This window comes from Homo sapiens, chromosome 3, assembly GCF_000001405.40.
Source record: "Homo sapiens chromosome 3, GRCh38.p14 Primary Assembly".
Taxonomy (NCBI): Eukaryota; Metazoa; Chordata; class Mammalia; order Primates; family Hominidae; genus Homo; species Homo sapiens.
This window is the reverse complement of record NC_000003.12, coordinates 74,346,546-74,366,517: the sequence shown is the minus strand read 5'-3', so window position 1 is coordinate 74,366,517 and position 19,972 is coordinate 74,346,546. Positions and strand designations below refer to the sequence as shown.

At 38.5% G+C, this 19,972-nt stretch overlaps 1 protein-coding gene across 4 annotated transcripts in view; it reads left to right on the top strand.

The window, feature by feature from the left end:
- Positions 1 to 19,972, top strand: part of CNTN3 (contactin 3) — a 352,092-nt gene that overhangs the window by 248,142 nt on the left and 83,978 nt on the right. For all 4 annotated transcript variants that reach the window (NM_020872.3, NM_001393376.1, XM_011533768.3 and 1 more), the window contains 3 exons: positions 816 to 952; positions 1,922 to 2,051; positions 4,478 to 4,628. In NM_020872.3, coding sequence (NP_065923.1) covers positions 816 to 952; positions 1,922 to 2,051; positions 4,478 to 4,628 — 418 coding nt within the window. The remainder of the gene's footprint in view (positions 1 to 815; positions 953 to 1,921; positions 2,052 to 4,477; positions 4,629 to 19,972) is intronic.

Sequence of the window (19,972 nt, the reverse complement as noted above, 5' to 3'; positions counted from 1 at the left end):
TCACCTCCCAGTTTTGGATTTAAAACACAAGCTGAGACTTGGCTGGATATACTGTATATAGTAAGTGACTTTCATTGTAAGTGGTACGATGCTTTCATCTGTAAAATGAATTTTCCAAATACCCTCTAAAGCATAAGTTGAAAATGATAAATCCATTTGATTGAACTTATTTGCATACATAATTTAAAGTTGCATCAGTTACTTCTTTTTCTGGCAAAAAATCACATGATTCAAGTTGAACCAACTTATCCATCTTTTCCTGCTTTGATCTTAATTCACTCAGAGGTTCTTAAGATGCTCACTGGTTTGTATTTAATTAAGTTATTTCTAACTTGTGGAAAATATTTTTTCCTCGGCTGTAGCAGTTTCTCTCCTATGGATGTTAATTTTTAGTTCATAATTAAGAACAATATATGCTGTCATTCACTTATTAAGTCATCATCAGTTGTGATCTCATGATTCAAAAATACACTTGGAAAACAAAATCAGTTTTGTGTACCTGTATTACTGTCTACTAATAGATATCTAAATAATATAGTACAGTGCTCAGAATTTTGAAAATAGAGAGAGCATAATTAATTTGCCTTAGGAAATAACAGATTGCAACTTCCATCCTCAAATGTAGAAACGTTTCATACAGCCAATGAGTAGATACTTAGTGAATAAAATATAATTCTAGCCTCTGTTCTCACTTCAATCTGTTACTCATTATCATGTCCATTTCTATTAATCCAGGTAAGATAATAAAATAATAAATACATTTTATTTGCTGGGTGGTTTAAATTTCTTTTCTTTTTCCTTTTCTTTCATTGAAGCAAAGCCCCATTGGGTTCAACTCATAAAGGATGTGGAAATAGCCGTGGAGGACAGTCTTTATTGGGAATGCAGGGCAAGCGGCAAGCCCAAGCCTTCCTACCGATGGCTGAAAAATGGAGCAGCCCTGGTGCTAGAGGTAAGGTAACATGGACCTAAAATGGGTTTAGAGGCCTGGTAAATCCACCCTTTCCTCACTTGGTGTTTAGCAAATGCTTTCTTTAGTCCCTAGTCCCAAAATAAACTGTTGAGTTTGCACACTTTCCTTTACTTCTAAGCAGTGGTACAGGAGGAAAAATATCAAATCAAGTACCCAGTCTGCCAGTGAGGAGAGCTTTTCAGCATGGCATTTCACTGGGAAGAAGTCATGGTGTGAATTTAGTCTGTAAAATAATCTACCGTTTTTTTGGTATTGAAATTAGAGAAGGCCTTACTTTAATCAAATTTAGGATATAATTTCCTTTTCCTGTTTAACAACTTGGTGTGGCCTCTGGGGAATGAATGTATCTATTACTTGGTTACCTTGTTATGTAAGTACTTATTTTCTCCATCACTCTCCTTCTCAAGCCATGTAATTTTTGCCCTTTTTTTGTATACTAAGTCAATTGTGTTCTTTCAGTTTCCATACCTAACCTTTCATACTACCTAGAAACTCTGGTAAATATATGTGTTTCCCAGAAACCTTTCTAATCCACAGATTTGATAATGTTTTTAACTTGCATGATTTGAAAAGACATAGTGAAAACATTTCCAACTGATGGGATAAAAATCAACCTCATAAAACATGTTTTAAAGTCACGGTACCTTTTTAAGAAACTTTAACTGTAGGGGAAAAAGTGAAATGGTTGCATATTTTACCTCTGCTTTGTTATCTATTTTATGATATACTTTTGGATTGAAGGATGCTAATTCATATTTCTAATGTGTAGCTATTGTGTAAATTAGTCTTTCACATTTAAAATAAGGAAAAGGTTAAATTTCAGGCCATCCTGTCTAATACTCTCAGAAAAATGCAGAAAGTTTCTGTGTGAGTGAAATGATAGTCAGTTCATTTTTATTCTAAAGTGGTATGTTTGTTTATATGAAAGATATTTTTATTATCATCTAGGAGAGAACACAGATAGAAAATGGTGCCCTTACAATATCAAACCTAAGTGTGACTGATTCTGGCATGTTCCAATGCATAGCAGAAAACAAACATGGCCTTGTTTATTCCAGTGCTGAGCTCAAAGTTGTTGGTAAGGCTGATTTTCTCTGCTCTTCTCTTAATTTTTTGTCTTAAATCCTTCATTGTTTCCAGAAGCAGTAATATTTACTTTTCACATTAGGTTCCTACATCTAATAATATCTACAGTATTACAACACGATCATTCAGTTTCTAATCAAGGCATACCTTTTAACAGTTTCTAAGGAAAAACAGCAATTATGGCCAGAATTGAGGACCAAGGGTTAAGTTAATCGACAGTAGGAATCAAATATTGGCAAAAGATATCCTTATCCACCTCCAATATTACCAACTAAGCAAAGCCTTTTAGGAGAATAAGTGATTTTGGTGTTCCCCGTTGCTGGTCCGTAATAGCAAATACCAAAATTTGAATCAATCGTATTTGATTCAAAAGAGTTGCCTTTGCCTTTAGTGGCTCTGTTAGAAGCTTGACACATTGGATACCTTGAGGCTTTCATTGTCCAAGGCTCCACTGCTTGAAATTATAGATGATCTTCTTCTTGTACTTTAGGTATAGGAGAAAAAGAAGATGTTCTATCATGTTTAAAGCAATTGTCCAGAAGAATATTTACATTACAAATGATTGAAAATCCAAGCAAAACACCATGGCATAGTGTAGCATAGCACAAATGAATGGAAGGAAAGGAGGAAGGGAAGAGGAGCAGGAGGGCTTGCTCATCAGTCCATGTTATTAAAATGGAGAATTTGGATTTCAGCATAATTTGGTCCAGTGTTCAAATATCATCACTATTATCAGGTTCTATATGATGTTTCCCAACAAAATGAATGTATTACCACAGTCATTCCAGTGGAAGAAAGACGGCTGTCTTAATTGCTCAAAGGGAAGTCAAAGTGTTGCATGCCATTGGCCCCATATAGCCTGATTTGGGTTAATACTTGTTTCTGAACCAATCCATATGGTCAGCAAGTGATAAGGCCCTGCATGATTTAAGTCAGTGTTTCTCAACCAGGGACAATTTTGCCCTGAGGGAAATTTAGAAATGTCTGGAGATATTTTTGGTTGGTGTGGAGAGGTAGAGGACCAGTGTGTGGTATTAGCATATTGTGGGTGAAGGACAGAGAGGCTGCTAAATATCCTACAGTGCACAAAATAGCTTCTCACAAAAGATAATTATCCACCCCAAAATGTTATATGTCAAGAGTGATTGAAAAAACCCTGCTTTAATGGGCTCTCTCATCTCTAGTGCCTGGCAGTTAGAAATGCATCATCTGTACCAGGAGGAATGATGCCTGGAGGGATGATCAACTGAAAATCTGGCTGCTGTTATCCATGACAGAGAAGTAGCATATTATGACAAAAAGAGGGAGGAGTTTGCATATAAGTCTTAACTTGAAAGACTGTAATTATATTGCAATAAATTAAGCTGATGAGCCATAGTTTATCCATCTTTAAAATGGGTGGAGTCCTACTCAATGTATGGTGTGGGATTGTTGTGTATGAAGAAATACGAGGTGCGTAAACAAAAGATTGTATTCAAATATAAACAAGTTTTTGTTTTAACAAAAATCACTCTTTTATGATTTTTAATTTTTAAGGCCAACAACCTCTGGATACCATGTTTTCTTTACCACAATCACATGTATAATTACGTAATATGATTCACTCTAAGATTTCCACTAATCAAATAAATAAATTGTATTCACTTGGATTTGCCATAAGACACAGCATTAGCTATTTGGGAAATGCAGTAGGTTTTTAATGTTTTTCACATTTGCAGCAAAAGGAAGAGTGATTTTTTTTTTATTAACATACCCTTTCATTCCAATGATACAATATTATGTATCTTAAATGTTCAAGTGTTGTTTCAGGATTAACATCCCATGTATTATTAGCAAATGTAATATTTTCTACACATTATTATACTTCATGCAATATTATAGCATTTAAAATAATATGTGCGTAATATTATTTTTCCCCAGTTTGGAAGTTCAACCTAACAATTTAAACATTTTATCGTGGAACTTGATACATGCATATGTATGAGAATATTAATTCAGTGCTTAGCCTCTGTTCTCAAAGTTTTGCTGAGCTTTGTTGAATGCTAGGCACTGTACCAAGTGCTATGTCCTAAAGGTTAGCAAGAGAGACAACCCTATTCCTGTCTTCGTGGAGCTAACATTTAAAAACGTTCTATACCAAATGTTTTCCTTTCATTTAATAAACACATGATTGAGCTACTTTGAATCTTCACCATAAACTAAACATTTCTGTATAAAGTAATTGTCTCACGATTTAGACTTGCTAGAAAACATAATAACATGAATTATCCTGTGTGTGGCACACAATAAGCCAAGTAAATCAAGCACTGACACCCTGAATGTAAAGAAAACTTTTAAAACTGTAAAAGTGGACCTTTGAAATTGACAAGAAGTTTTGTAAATGATCCACTTCTCCTTCTCTCCTTTCTTGCCTTTCAGCTTCTGCTCCAGATTTTTCAAAGAATCCAATGAAGAAGTTGGTTCAGGTGCAGGTGGGCAGCCTGGTCAGCTTGGATTGTAAACCCAGAGCCTCCCCAAGGGCACTCTCTTCCTGGAAGAAGGGGGATGTGAGCGTGCAGGAGCATGAAAGGTATTTTGATGTCCAGAAAAGTGGTCATTTACTTTCCTCTCACTTTCCATACTGATGTCAACATAGGTTTTAAATATGAAATGAAACAAAATAGCATTTCAGTAGCATGTGAGATCTTTAAGAACTAAAATAGTAGTATTTTTGTTCTTTAATACCTTTGTAAGAGTATTCAGTTTTTTGAAATCTAAACACAGAAAATATATCCAAGGTCTTCCCACATAGAGTACTTTCTCTTAACAAGGATTTTCTTCCTGAATCGCTGGGAAGACTCAACCAGAATGATGAAGGAATGTTGATCCCAGAAGCAGATCCACATCCCAGGACAAAGAAGAGAAGGATGTATAATAACAGCACATGCCAAAGAAATACAAATATTGCTGTTATCCTATACTCAAATAATTTAGCATGACTGGTATTTAGTTTAAGCAAAGGCATCCCTGATTTCCTGGCTGTAATTATAACACTGAGATGAAGAAGCAGGATGGTCTTAGTGAAAAGCACAGACTCTGGAGCTAGACCACCTGGATTCAAATCTTCATTTTTGCCTTTACTTGCTCAGTGCTGTGACCTAATCTTTCTGTGCCTCATTCCCTTATTTGTTAGTGGGAGTGATAATAGTTCACACCTAATGTCAAGAATTGTTATGTGGATGAAGTACATAAATATTAATAAAGCACTTAGGTAAACACCTGCCAGAAAGTAAGCGTAAGTATTGGCTGTTACTGCTGCTTATCTATTATAAATTTACTATATATTTATTATTTATTATTACAGTTTATTGAGTGTTTATTGCCAGGGATTATGCTCAGAGCTTGTGATAAGCAGAATAATTGGCCCCAAAGCATCCCTCTCCTTATCCTAGAAACCTGTTACTGTGTTATATTACATGGCAAAAGGTAATTAAATTTGAAGGTAGAATTAAGGATGGAACTAAAGTCTTAGCAGTTGACTTTAAAATAAGGAGGTTATCCTGGAGTATCTGGGTGGGCCCAAAGTAATCATCTGAGCCCTTAAGAGAGGAAGAGGGAGGCAGAAGGATTGGTCAGAGAGCTGTGATAATCACAGAAGAGGCAGGAGAGACCTGAAGCCTGAGAAAGACCCTGATGAGTGTTGCTGGCTGTGAAGATGAGGGAAGGGGCCAGCAGTAAAGAAAACAGGGACCTTGGTTCCATGACCACAAGAGGCTGAATTCCACCAACAACCTGAATGAGTACAAAATGATTCCAGATTCAGAAGGAATGCAACCCTTCTGAATGTTGATTTTAGCACAGTGAGACCTATACTGAACTTCTGACCTCCAGAACTGTAAGAGAACAAATTGATGTTGTTTTAGGTCATCAGGTTTGTGGTCATTTATAACAGCAATAGGAAACTTAACACAGAACACTAAGTGAATTATCACTTTTAAATATTTCTGCAGCTAATGAAAAAACAGAAACTTAGTGGAATTAATTTGCCTGAAGTCACATAGCCAGGATTGGGAGCCATTCTGTTTGACTCTAGGATATAACCACTAAGCTTTATCAGTGCCACATTTTGTACAGGGAGCCCAGAATCTTTGAGGTGGTCTCAGCCATTGAAGTCATAGAGTCCAAATTATTACTTTGGAAATGAAAGGAATACAAACAAACAATAAAACCTTAGGCCAAGAAATGTGGATTTGCTTTTCTAAAATATCACAGCATCAGATTGCACATGACCAGGTTGAACGGCTTTTAGATTTTAGCCCCAAAGGTATATTTAGACAAGTTGGTTACAACAGCACAATCTGCAGTTCCTCCAGTATTTAGCCGAAGATGCCTTCATTAAAAGGCAGACACAGCAGGATGACAAGATAAAATTGTGAATTGAGTGGTTCACCATAATCCAACCAAATGCTAGGCTGCACAGAATAGATTTCTGGAACAGGAGGTTAATTAGTGATTTGCAGTTTGATTTTGTAAGCCAGTTTAAACAACTACAGGCTTGTGGCACAAACTAGTTAATTTTGGCTATGCTAGAAGTTAACTCTTCATATGGAACTCATGACATTTTTGTGTTCAAAAATTTTTAATTGATTCAATAATATACATGAATTAAATAGAGATTATTTCCCATGGATATCAATGCTTTGTACAATGCTAAATCAACTTGTCCTCATAGTAGCAAATATAGTAGGTAGAGGCTTTTAATCTTAATTTTTAAAGGGGATAAAAAGATTAAGAGATTTAGCTAGTGATACACAAGGAGATATTTATATCCACATTGTATAGCGATGGTGCTGGTAAAAGTGTGTAAGTTCCAGGATCTAACCTGGAATTTCTGATTTAGCCAGTTAATACTTTAATCTATACTTAATACAAGTATAGATTCGTGGCACAAACTATTTAATTTTGACTATGCTGGAAGTTAACTCTTCCTTTAGAACTGCTGACATTTTTGTGTTCGAAGATTTTTGAACACAAAAATTTAGTGTCATTAGATCAGCTATGTAATACCTCTGAACCTCCGTTTCCTCTTCCATAATATAGAGATAATATATCCTTCCTTACATAGTCGCTGCAAAATCAGGATTTAGCCTGATATTTGTACATATACATATACTGATCTATAAGAATGAGATCATGTTATAAATAAAATTTTGAAAGTAAAAGTGGCTGAAAAAGAATTTTTTTGTTTGTTGGTTGGCCGTTCATTGGTTGGTTGGTCACTGTGAAGGCTGACAGTCAAGGCTACCTGGACTCTCCATTCAGCAGGGATGCAGGCCCTGCTGTCTTGCTGTCCCACCACTCTCAACTCATGAACCAAAACCACTGTTTTTGTGCCTGCCTCCCAGTGACATCCCAGGCAACAGCAAGGAGGAAGGTAGAAATAAGAATACACAACCCAAATGTCCAACAATGATAGACTGGATTAAGAAAATGTGGCACATACACACCATGGAATACTATGCAGCCATAAAAAATGATGAGTTCATGTCCTCTGTAGGGACATGGATGAAATTGGAAATCATCATTCTCAGTAAACTATCGCAAGAACAAAAAACCAAACACCGCATATTCTCACTCATAGGTGGGAATTGAACAATGAGATCACATGGACACAGAAAGGGGAATATCACACTCTGGGGACTGTTGTGGGGTGGGGGGAGGGGGGAGGGATAGCATTGGGAGATATACCTAATGCTAGATGACGAGTTAGTGGGTGCAGCGCACCAGCATGTCACATGTATACATATGTAACTAACTTGCACAATGTGCACATGTACCCTAAAACTTAAAGTACAATAAAAATAAATAAATAAATAAATAAATCAAAAAAAAAAAAAAGAATACACTTCCTTCCCTTTAAGAGTCTTCCCAGAAGTCCCATACAACACTCTTCCTTATACCATACTAATCAGAAATTCATTCCCTGGCCACATTTAACTGCAAGAGAAACTGGGAAATACAGAATTTTTTTTTTTTTTTATGGACGGGAATGCACCCAATAAACAAAATTGAGATTGTGTTTTTAAGGAGAGAGAGGAAAATAATTGCTAACCCAGCAGTGTCTCGTGGTAATAAAAGTTAGTTCTCTATCCCTTTCAAGCCTTCTGACACTCTGCTTTGTATGATATATTTCTAATATCTCCCCTACTGATCATAAGCTTTCATATATGAAGATATCCTTAAAAAGAGGGAACATATTTAAGAGAGGTCCATGGTGTTCCAATCCTCCTTAGATCTGTGGTTTGAATTTTGTTTTTATCTTTTTGGACAGCAAAAAACACTGACGAGCCAGGGCCTTGATGCTTAGGGAGAAGCCTGCTAGAAGCAATTATCGAACAAGTTGCGGACTTGAACCTTCTCCAAGTCCACGGGAAATCAGAGTGGCCGCAGTCATCACTTGGCAACGAAAGCCCCATATCCATCCCTCTTAACTTGGTCTGCAGGCTTCAGCCAAATCAGAAAAACACATTAAATGGTAGATTTATTGTGGTTGTTAGATCATGGATTGTTACAACTTTAAAAATGCAGATTCAATCTTATTTGAAGGAGAAATGAATTCATTGGTGCATTAAAGAATAGAAGACAATTTTTTAATGGGATATTTATGACAAAATTTGAAGTGTATTTGATTTTTTAGTTTTTTTAAGTGGTTAATTTGGACTTGTCGGCGAATAAGAAACTTATGATAAAGATGAAAGCTTTCTCTAGCCTAACATAGAGGCCACTGGCAGCAAATACATTTTGATTAAGCCAATATTCTATATATGTATCATTCAAGGTCTAAATCAGAAAACAATCAAAGGATTAAATACTTTTCTTAAGCACTGAATAAACTGAGGCCGAGTGCAGTGGGTCACGCCTGTAATCCCAGCACTTTGGGAGGCCAAGGCGGGTGGATCACCTGAGGTCAGGAGTTCAAGACCAGCCCAACCAACATGGAGAAACCCTGTCTCTACTAAAAATACAAAATTAGCTGGGTGTGGTGCTGCATGACTGTAATCCCAGCTACTTGGGAGGCTGAAGCAGGAGAATCACTTGAACTTGGGAGGCAGAGGTTGCGTTGAGCCGAGATTGCACCACTGCACTCCAGCCTGGGCAACAAGAGGGAAACTCCTTCTATTAAAAAAATAATAATAATTGGATAAACTGATAAATGTGCCTTCTATGTAAATCGTATAATAGATTTGAATAATCGGCCAGGCACGGTGGCTCACACCTGTAATCCCAGCACTTTGGAAGGCCGAGGCAGGCGGATCACGAGGTCAGGAGATCGAGACCATTCTGGCTAACACGGTGAAACCCTGTCTGTACTAAAAAATACAAAAATAATTAGCTGGGTATGGTGGCATGTGCCTGTAGTCCCAGCTACTCAGGAGGCTGAGGCAGGAGAATGGCGTGAAACTGAGAGGCGGAGCTTGCAGTGAGCCGAGATCATGCCACTGCACTCCAGCCTGGGCGACAGAGCGAGACTCCTACTCAAAATAAATAAATAAGTAAATAATCATAATCCACCTGGTTTATAAAGTTTTATAGCAGCACAATAACAGCTTTGCAATTATGAATCAGCCGTGATCATGTGGATCTCAGTCAGTGAGGCACCTAAATTATAGAATCACTTTGAAGAAATGAGAGTTGTTTCTTTCAAGTATGGAGAGCATTTCAAGCTAGAGTAGTAAATGGATTACTGCCCAACAGAGGTCTTCAAAAAGCTGCTATGAGTAGATAACAAAGGCTTATCCTGCAAAAAGTGATTCCTGGGCTCTTACATTTAAGTTCACACTTGAAAATACCTTGAGTACCTACTATATGCTAGGCACTAGGTATTTATTATTTATCAGATACATCGATGCCATTGTTTGTAGCTTTTCAGGGTATACAGACAGGTAACAGGACAGGTACAATAAAACTCAATTGGCAAAGTACAGGATGTTCAGGGAATCACCTAGGAAGGCTCTTATCTCCAAATTAGGGATCAGGACAAGCTCTCTAGAGAAGGTGATGTCTGCAGCAGGACTTGAAAGATGACCAGGGTTTTTGTTGGAGAAGAGTATTCCAGGAAGAAAGAATAGCACGTGCAAAGGTACAGAGGCCAGTCATGGTTTGGGTACTGCCTTAGTTCATTTGGGCTACTATAACAAAATACTAGATTGGGTAATTTATAAATAATGGAAGTTTATTGTTCACAGTTCTGGAGGCTGGGAAGTCTAAGAACAAGGCACCAGTCTGGTGAGGGCTCACTCTCTGATGCATAGATGGGGCCTTGTTGCTGCATCCTCACATGGTAGAAGGGGCAAGGCAGCTCCATTCAATCTCTTTTGTAAGGGCACTGACCTTATACCCCTATGTCTTAATAACTTCCCAAAGGCCCCCCTTCTTTATACCATCACAATGAGCATGAGGTTTCACCATGGATTTTGGAGGGACATATTCAGAGCATAGCAGGTACTTGAGTAACTGATTGTTCAATGGGCCTCCATTTTAAGGTGCCATGGAGGGGAGTGTTCAGAGAGAATTGGGCAGTAGAGGTAAGCAGGGGTCTTATTGTCAATGACAGTGTATACCGAATTAAGGAATTTGGGCTTTATTCCACAAGCACTGGGATGCAACAGAATAAAATCAAAGTAGAAGATGTACAGGATTAAATTTCTGTTTAAAAAAGAGGACCAGCAGGGTGCGGTGGCTCATGCTTGTAATCCCTGCACTTTGGGAGGCCGAGGCACGTCGATCATTTGAGGCCAGGAATTTGAAACCAGCCTGGCCAACATGGTGAAACCCCATCTCTACTAAAAATACAAAAATTAGCTAGGCATGGTGGCACACTTCTGTAATCACAGCTACTGGGGAGACTGAGGCATGAGAATTGCTTGAACCCAGGAGTTGGAGGTTGCAGTGTACCGAGACCTTGCCACTGCACTCCAGCCTGGGCAACAGAGTGAGAACCTGTCTCAAAACAAAACAAAACAAAACAAAAACACTGGTACCAGCAGATGGGTTGAAGTGGTACCAGGACTGAAAGCAAGATCCCTCATTAGCAGCAATCCACCTGTCTGAGCAAAACAGTATTACAGCCTGAACTAAAGAAATGACAGTGGGAATGAAGTGAAGCCTTGAGGAGTTTGAGAAAATGTTATATCAACAAGACCTGTTGATTAGAGGCATGATTTGAAGAGAAGACAGGAGTCGAGGATAAATCCTAGATTTCCAGGTTAGGATTCAGGGAGCATGGCAGACCCATTCAGAGTGACAGGGAACCTTATAGAAATGGCAGAAATGAGGGCAAATAGGATAAGTTCAGTTTGGGATTGGTTGAGTTTGAAGTACCTACTGAAAAACCAACTGGATATATCCGTGCATACAAAGGTTGACTGAATCTGGAACTTAGGAGAAAGACTCAGGCTATAGAAACAGAGATTTATGTGTCATGAGCTTGGAGATGGTAGCTGAGCCATTGTAGTGGATACAACTTTCTAGGAAGGGTAGATGTCTTTAAATGGTAGAGGCTGTACAGCTTACCTCTGAAACTCTCGTACATACAAGTTATCAGTAGAGAGAACTGTGTTACAGCCTCATTTAATGATTTAGTGATTGATTTATTAAATAAATGCCAAGTCACCTGGTGCTCAACTATTCTAAACGTCATAATTACTGGCATTCAGTATTGAGTAAAGGTTTTTCTTTTTCTTATTTTGGCTTTTTTTGTTTGTTTGTTTTATATTGGTATTATACAGTCCAATATTGGGTAAAGTTATTGTGCTTTTTTTCTCCCTGCAGCAAGAAACATTTTGGAATAAACAAAAATGTACTGCCTTTTTCAGTATTCCATAGTATTTCACCAGGTGTCAATGTTTTTGTGCTATTTCATTCATTCATTCACTTAAATCCACCTATTTCCAAAAGAGACAAATCAAAACTGTATGTTTTGTCTCTTTTAAGGAAACTAACATTGAAAAAGACCCTTGAGAATGAGAACAGACGTGGTTTGTGAGAAAGAGCCAGTTGGTGTATTTTAAAGATTATTTAACTTATCTCTATCACTTAGTGGTACTTGAAACATAGTAGCTAATTATTTTTTTAAATGGGATCCTTCATTTGAATGCTATTGCTTATAATAGTAAATATTTTATTGCAATAACCTCAGTCAGAAGAAAGTAAAAGAATGGCTCATTGCTTCTAATTAACACATTAAAATTATTTCAAATGTTTTATGCAACATTTAATACTATTGAAAATTAAATGCCTTTTAAAGAAAGAGTGAATTTTTTTCCAAATATGAATAACTATAATCCAGGCAATGTTTTTAAAAGATATTACCCAATCTTAATGTATTTCCTGCACATAGATAAAAGCTGGCATTAAAATGCAGTAAGCATTATATGCTGTATTATTGGATTTATATGACATTTTTGAAAAAGGAGCAGTTTTAGGGAAAAAAATAGTGATCACTGCTTGCCAGAGGCTGGGAGTGGGTGTAGAGGTTGACTGTCAGGGACACAGAAGGATTTTTGGGGTGAGGGACCTGCTGTAGCCCATGATTGTGAGAGATGACATGACTGCATTCATCTGTTAAAGTGCACAGAACTGTGCATCAGAAAAAGGTGTATTATACTGTATTTAAATTATGCCTTAATTTTATTTTATTTAATTAATTAATTAATTTTTTTTTTGAGACGGAGTCTCGCTCTGTCCCCCAGGCTGGAGTGCAGTGGCGCAATCTCGGCTCACTGCAAGCTCCGCCTCCCGGGTTCACGCCATTCTCCTGCCTCGGCCTCCCGAGTAGCTGGGACTACAGGCGCCTGCCACCACGCCCGGCTAATTTTTTGTATTTTTAGTAGAGACGGGGTTTCACCGTGTTAGCCGGGATGGTCTCGATCTCCTGACCTCGTGATCCACCCGTCTCGGCCTCCCAAAGTGCTGGGATTACAGGCGTGAGCCACGGCACCCGGCCTATGCCTTAATTTTAAAAGTTACATGCAGTTTTACATTCATCTCCACCCTGATCAAGTAGTTCCATAAAGGAGTTTAAAAGCTCAAGAAATGCTCCTAACTGGCCACTTTTGCCATTTGTGAAGCACTGAGTAATGTGATGATGGTACTTACAAGCAGAATCTAAACTTTTGCAAATAACCAGGATGATTCTATCAGAGCCAAGACCACTTAGCATTTCTGTCATTGCCCCTCCTAGTGGCCACAGCCTCGCTTTGATAAAGATGTGTCTAGAAACTCTGTCACTATCAAACAAATCTGTTTTAGGTGGCACTTCCCCTTGACTCAAGCTTTTAAATGAAGAACAGAGATTCCTTTGCCAAAGGAATGTGTCTCTCTCCATCTCTTTCCCCTTCCCTTACACTACCTGGCTCCTCTCCTCACAGTGGAGTCCACTTTTCTTCATACTGTTCAAAATGCCACTCCCATCTCTCTCAGCCTTCCACTGCCCCCTTCATCCAAAAAGCTTGACTTTATTTTAATCTTCTTCTACATCCGTGGTCTACCCATCAAAACAGTTGTTCCCTCGCAACTGTCAGGTAGGCGTGCAAGCTCAGTGAGTTTCAGTGAATCTACCCTCAGATACGTAGCTGAGATCTCAGTGAGTCTTTTGCTTTTGTATCTTACTTGAATTTCTAACTGTTGAACCTTGAAGCACAGGGAGAATTTTATTTCATATGTGGATGCCATCACTTTTAAAAACCAGATTGATTGATGTCCCTGCCTTCTGCCTAGAAGGAAGGTACTCCATGTTGTTTTCTAATTTATCATATTGTTATTTTTCACTGGGTATTATGTCCGGCTCTGGGAATACATAGATGAATAAGAGACATCAAGGAGCCGTCAAAAAGCCCACAGTCTGTTTAGAATGTGGATAACTAAACCATCAATTACAGTGGAATAGACTATACGATTAAGGTGACCATGGAAGTTATTCAACAAACTGGGACATTTTAGAAGGGAAAGGGGGCACTGTTAGTAATTACCTCCAAGACAACACATGTAAACTAGGACTGGCTGAGCACACTGGACATTCCATCCTGCCTCTAGTGAAGGTGTTTATAGAGACTGTTGCCACATGGTCTTTTAAACCAGTAAGAAGCAGAGAGAAGAAATGCTGTCTCAGCCTTGGGAAGCAGGAGAGCAGCTCCATGAGGGCAGAAATCTCAAAGGAAGGGATGTAAAATGCAGCAAAGCAAGAGAGTAGGGAACATGCTGTCTAAACAGAAAGGATTACACAGGTAAGAAGCAAAACTGGGTATTTATTCTTTTATTCCAGTTGTGTCAGTGGCAAAGTTCACATATGATCGTGAAAATAAGAAAGCCTGGCTTGAGTTCTTCCACAGATAGAAAACCATTTGTCTTCTTCAAAGGAGGTGAACATTGGAGGCAGAACTCTTCTCTTAAAGAGATGATTGAGATGCCTGGGTAAATAAGCAAGAGTTCTAGAGAGTAGAGCACAGCTTCCTTCCTGACCTGGCTTCCCCAACCCATACCTCTATTTCTCTTCTGCTTTCAGCTGGAAAAAGAAAAGGAATGAGGTCCTTTGCCAATAACTCCCATACTCTATGAGAAGATTAAGCTGATTTAAGAGTGAAGATAATCAGGAGAAGAGTCAATGAAATCCCAGAGTTTGGGTTTGGGATGGGGCTCATGGTGTGATAATCACCTCCTCTCTCTAATACCCTACCCTCCACCACCAGCATATACTTACAAATCTTCCCCTATTAGCCACCAGACAGCTTCAGTTTCTGTGTGGGTATTTGTATCATTATTTACATGAATTATTAATGCCTAACTGGCATGCAGTATAGGAATTGCGATGCACATTATTCACTGTGTCAGATGAAGTTAAACATACGTTTTACTTGCTTCTTTAATTTTAGCATATGGAAAGGGCAAAGCATGGAAATCAGAAAGATGTGGGTCAGATCTTGGCTGTGTCACTTGCCACCTATGGGGTGTTAGACAAGTTACATAATTCCTGAGCCTTGGCTTCCTTACTGGAAAATGAGGCCAGGAATCCTTAAACAGAGTTAGTCAGCCTCGTGGGTGGCATTTGTGTGGCACACACTCTTAGTGAGGGATGAGTTAAAGAGATTGGTTTCCCTGATAGGCAGATAAACCCAAGGTTTCCTGTGGACAAATTATTTCCAACTTTGTCGCTGCCCCGTTTCTCTCACATTCTGTGGGACCCCCGCCTTTTTAAAACTCAGTGGATTGCAAAGATCAGAATAATGTGTGTAAAGTATCTGCTATAATGACTTCTCTGTAGATGCTCAGCAAAAGGTTTCTGATGCTGTTAATATGGCTTTCATGTATTTATTTATCTACTTATGTCTTTACTTACTTAATTGTAGGTTCAGAGGGCAAATGTGCAGGTTTGTTACAAGGGCATATTGTATAGTGCTGGAGTTTGGGCCTCTATTGAACCCATCACCCAAATATAGTGAACATGGTACCCTATGAAAACATGGTTTTTCAATCCTGGTCTCCCTGCTTTCCTCCCCGCTTTTGGAGTCCCCAAAGTCTGTTGTTTCCATATTTATGTCCATGTGTACCCATTGTTTAGCTCCCACTTTATAAGGGAGAATGTGCTTTTTTTTTTATTTTGTGTTTCTACATTAATTTAATTACAATAATGACCTCCATCTGCATCCTTGTGGCTGCCAATAACATGATTTCATTCTGTTTTATGGCTGTATAGTATTCCATGCTGTATATGTACCATATTTTCTTTATCCAATACACTGTTCATGGGCAACTAGGTTGATCCCATGACTTTACTCTTGGGAATAGTGCTGTGATAAACATAGGAGTACAGGTACTTTTTCACTAGAATGATTTATTTTCCATTGGGTAGATACCCAGTAGTGGGATTGCTGAGTTGGATGGTAGTTATGTTCTTAGTTCTTTGAAAAATCTCCATGCTGTTCTCCATAAGGATTGAACTAATTTACATTCCCACTAGCAGTATATGTGTTCCCTTTTCTGTGTACCCTCACCAACATCTGTTATGTCTTGACTTTCTAATATAGCCATTCTGACTGGTGTGAGATGGTATCTCATTGTGGTTTTAATTTGAATTTCTCTGATAATTAGTGATGTTGAGCATTTTTTCATGTTTGTTGGCTGCTAGTATGTCTTTTTTATTATTACTTAACTGTTTCCATCATGTTGCTCAGATGCCTTAAGAGTAATAAGTCTGGGCTGAAAAGAAAGGTAAGTACAGACCTTTCTTTTTTAGAACAATCAACTGAATTGCACATTATTTCAACCTTCTTAAGTAAATTCCACCCAAATGTTATTTTAAACAGATTGCTGACACATGGTCTCTAAAATCATATCAACTAAATTTTGCAGCTAACCATGCAGTTCTTAGATCCATATTTCAAATTTGGTTTTATGGATCATAGAAGTTAAGGCCACCTTAAAATATATTTCGTCAGTGTTGTGATTTTCCTTGGGGAATGCAGGTTAATGAATCTGAATGTGCTGGGGATTTGAATCTACTTCAAGCCAGTTCGTTGTTAGAACTGGATAAATAATTCATATCTTTGCCCAGTATAAATGTTTTATTTACAGGGAGTAACTACCCATACCATATTCTTTTGGTCATACAGCATTTCTCACTCAGGCCCAAAAATCCCACATGCATTTAACCATAGACCAATCCCTGTTCTGTTTCCCTGCTCTCACTTGAAATTCAAAGAAAAAAATATTAACGCAATCATAGAAACGCCCAATATCATTACATGCTACTTTTGCATTTTTTTCTTCTAATATTTTTAAGATGGGGGAAAAGGAGCTTTCTCTAGAAGTAAGAAAATTGACTGTTTTAACAAAATCAAGTTGCAGTACAAGAGTTCATATATCATTACCTTTTGAATAAGTTTGAAAAGAAAGGAGAAGAGAAAGAAGCAGAATTCTCCTTGCATTCTGTATTTGTAGTCTTGTGGTTTTCTCTGGCTGGAATGTCTTTTCTTCTCAACCTAGAAAACCCTTACATATCAGTCAAGGTCCAGCTTTATTGTTACTTGCTATGGGAAGCCTTCCTGGAGCTGAATAGGCAAGATTAATTGCTCTTTCTTATGTTTTACCACTTTGGTTTCTTTATATATTCAGTAGTATCATTTAACACAGTGTATTATGTCTGTTTGTGTAGAAGACCATCTCACCTGTATTCTTGCAAAGCCTTCACCTTATCCCTGTTTGTACTCTAAGCCTCTGCTCTGTACATGTTTGTTCATTTCAACATTGATTTATTCTTCAAATATTTATTTAACATCTACTGTTCCCATTAACTTTTGCTGCATAACAAATCACTCTAAAACTTTTTTTTTTTTTTTAAGAGACAGGGTCTCGCTGTGTCACCCAGACTGGAGTACAATGACATGATCATAACTCATTGCAGTCTCCAATTCCTAGGCTCACATGTGTCTCCTGCCTCAGCCTCCAGAGTGGCTGGGACTACAGCCATATGCTACCACACCTTGGTAATTTTTATATTTTTTTTTTATAGAGATGGGGTCTCAGTGTGTTGCCCAGGCTGGTCTCAAACTCCTGGCCTCAAGCAGTCCTCCTACTTCTGCCTCCAAAAGTTCTAGGATTACAGGCATGAGCCACCATGTGCCCTGCTAAAACAATGTAATGGTGTAAAGCAACAATCATTTTATCATCTCTCAAGGTTTCCATGGGTCAGGCATTCCGGCAGAGATTGATTGACAAGGCAGTATTTGCTCAGTGTGTCTCCTGTGGCTGCAGTGGGATGGGGGCTGGAGACAGCAGCTGGAAGATAGGTGTCCATTACAGTCTCTCCTCTCATGAAGCCCAAGGCCTCTGCTTATGGTCTCTCCGCATGGGTGAGTGTAGGCTTCCTATGCTATCATGGCCTCAGCAAGAGTCATAATGCCTACCTAGGGCAGCTAAAGGCATTAAGAATGAATGTTCAAGCTAGCAAGGTGGAAGCTGAATTCCCTAGGCTCTGAAGACACCATCACTTTCCCTGCATTCCACTGGTGACCAGTGAGTCACAAGCTATCCAAATTCAAAGGGAGAGAAGTTAGACTTTACTTTCTCCCCCTCAGTTTTAGTAAGGTATACTTGACAAGTAAAAATTACATATATTTAAGGAGCAGAAGGTAATATTTTGATATATGTATACATTGTGAAGTCAATACCACAATCAAGCTAATTATCATATCATATCTATCACCGCACATAGTTACCATTTTGTGTGTGTGTGTGTGTTGAGAACACTTAAGATCAGCTCTCTTAGCAATTTCAAGTACATAATACAGTGCAATTAACTATAATTCCCATGCTGTATACTAGAGCTCCAGAGCTTACTCAGTCTGCATAACAGAACCTTTGTCCTTTGACCAGCATTTCTCCATCTCCCCCATCCTCCAGCTCCAGGCAATCACCATTCTACTTTTTTTTTCCAACTGTAAAACATTCCACATATAAGTGAGATCAAACCTATGTCTGGTTTACTTCATTTCACATAATGTCCTCTAGGTTCATCCATGTTGTGACAAATAGCAGGATCTTCTTTTTTAAGGCTGAATAATATTCTGTTTACATATGTACCACATTTTCTTTAGTCATCCATCAATGAACCTTTTAATGGGAGAGTGGCAAGGATTTAGTGGGGCAAGAGGGTTGAGAAATACTGTGTTCACCTTTTGGAAATGCAATCTGGAACACCTACCACGTGCTCTGCCATGTGTAAGGCTCTGAGGATACCACAGTGAATAAGACAGACATGGTCTCTTCTTCATGGAGCTTGCATAAGGAACAGAAAAAATATAAATAAGTGGAAAAGATAAAATTTTTTTAGCCATAAAGAAAAAGAAACTATCATTATATGGTACATTTCAAGAAAGGCCTTGTGGGGTGGACTTAGTGGCTCACACCTATAATCCTAGCACTTTGGGAGGCCAAGGCAGGAGGATCACTTGAGGCCAGGAGTTCAAGACCAGCTTGGGCAACAGAGGGAGGCTCATTTTGCAAGAAGTGTAAAAAATTACCCAGGCATGTTGGTGCACACCGGTCGTTTCAGCTATTTGGGAAGCTGAGGCAGAAGGATGGCTTGAACCCATGAATTGGAGGTTGCAGTGAGCTGTGATCATGCTGCTGCACTCCAACCTGGATGACAGAGCGAGATGGAGATTTGGTTTAGGGTCACAGTAGTGGCAGCTGAGAAAAAGAGACTGTGTATTCTTGAGGTAGAGCTGGCTGAATTCATGCTTATGACATAATATTTCCTACCTAATGATCACATTTTATGTTTGTTGTGCATGAATTATACAGCTCCCAACTTGGCCTTTAGACTGTGTCCTGTGTGGGAATAATTCTTACTCATACTTGTATTTTCCAAAACACTTACTGCATTTTAAGTACTCAACAAATATTTGTTGAAGTGCATTTCACTCTTTCTTGGACAGCTTCCCATGTCTTAAAAGTACGTATAATTTTCCAGTTTAATTTATTGCGACTATTTCTTAGAAATCTAAAAAATTGATTTTTGTATAGATTTCTACTTGAGGCTTTCTATTAAAAAATATGGAGTGTGCTATATTTTAGTATGTTCTTCCCCCTCCCTGAAGCCCTTCATGGAAACAGGTCAGGTGAGTGGATGCATGGATGGATGGATGGATGGATGGATGGATGGATGGATGGATGGATGGATGGATGGATGTCAAATGAGATGTCGAGTGAAGTGCCGTTTCCATTGCACTTCTGTGGAAAATACAGATTGGTAATGATGATTTCTGCCTCCTATATTGTGATCCCTGGAGAGGACTTACTCATAATTTATGATCTGTTATACAAAGTCTATAGAATTGTTACACTGAGGTAAATTTCTCACTGCCTCACTCCAAACAA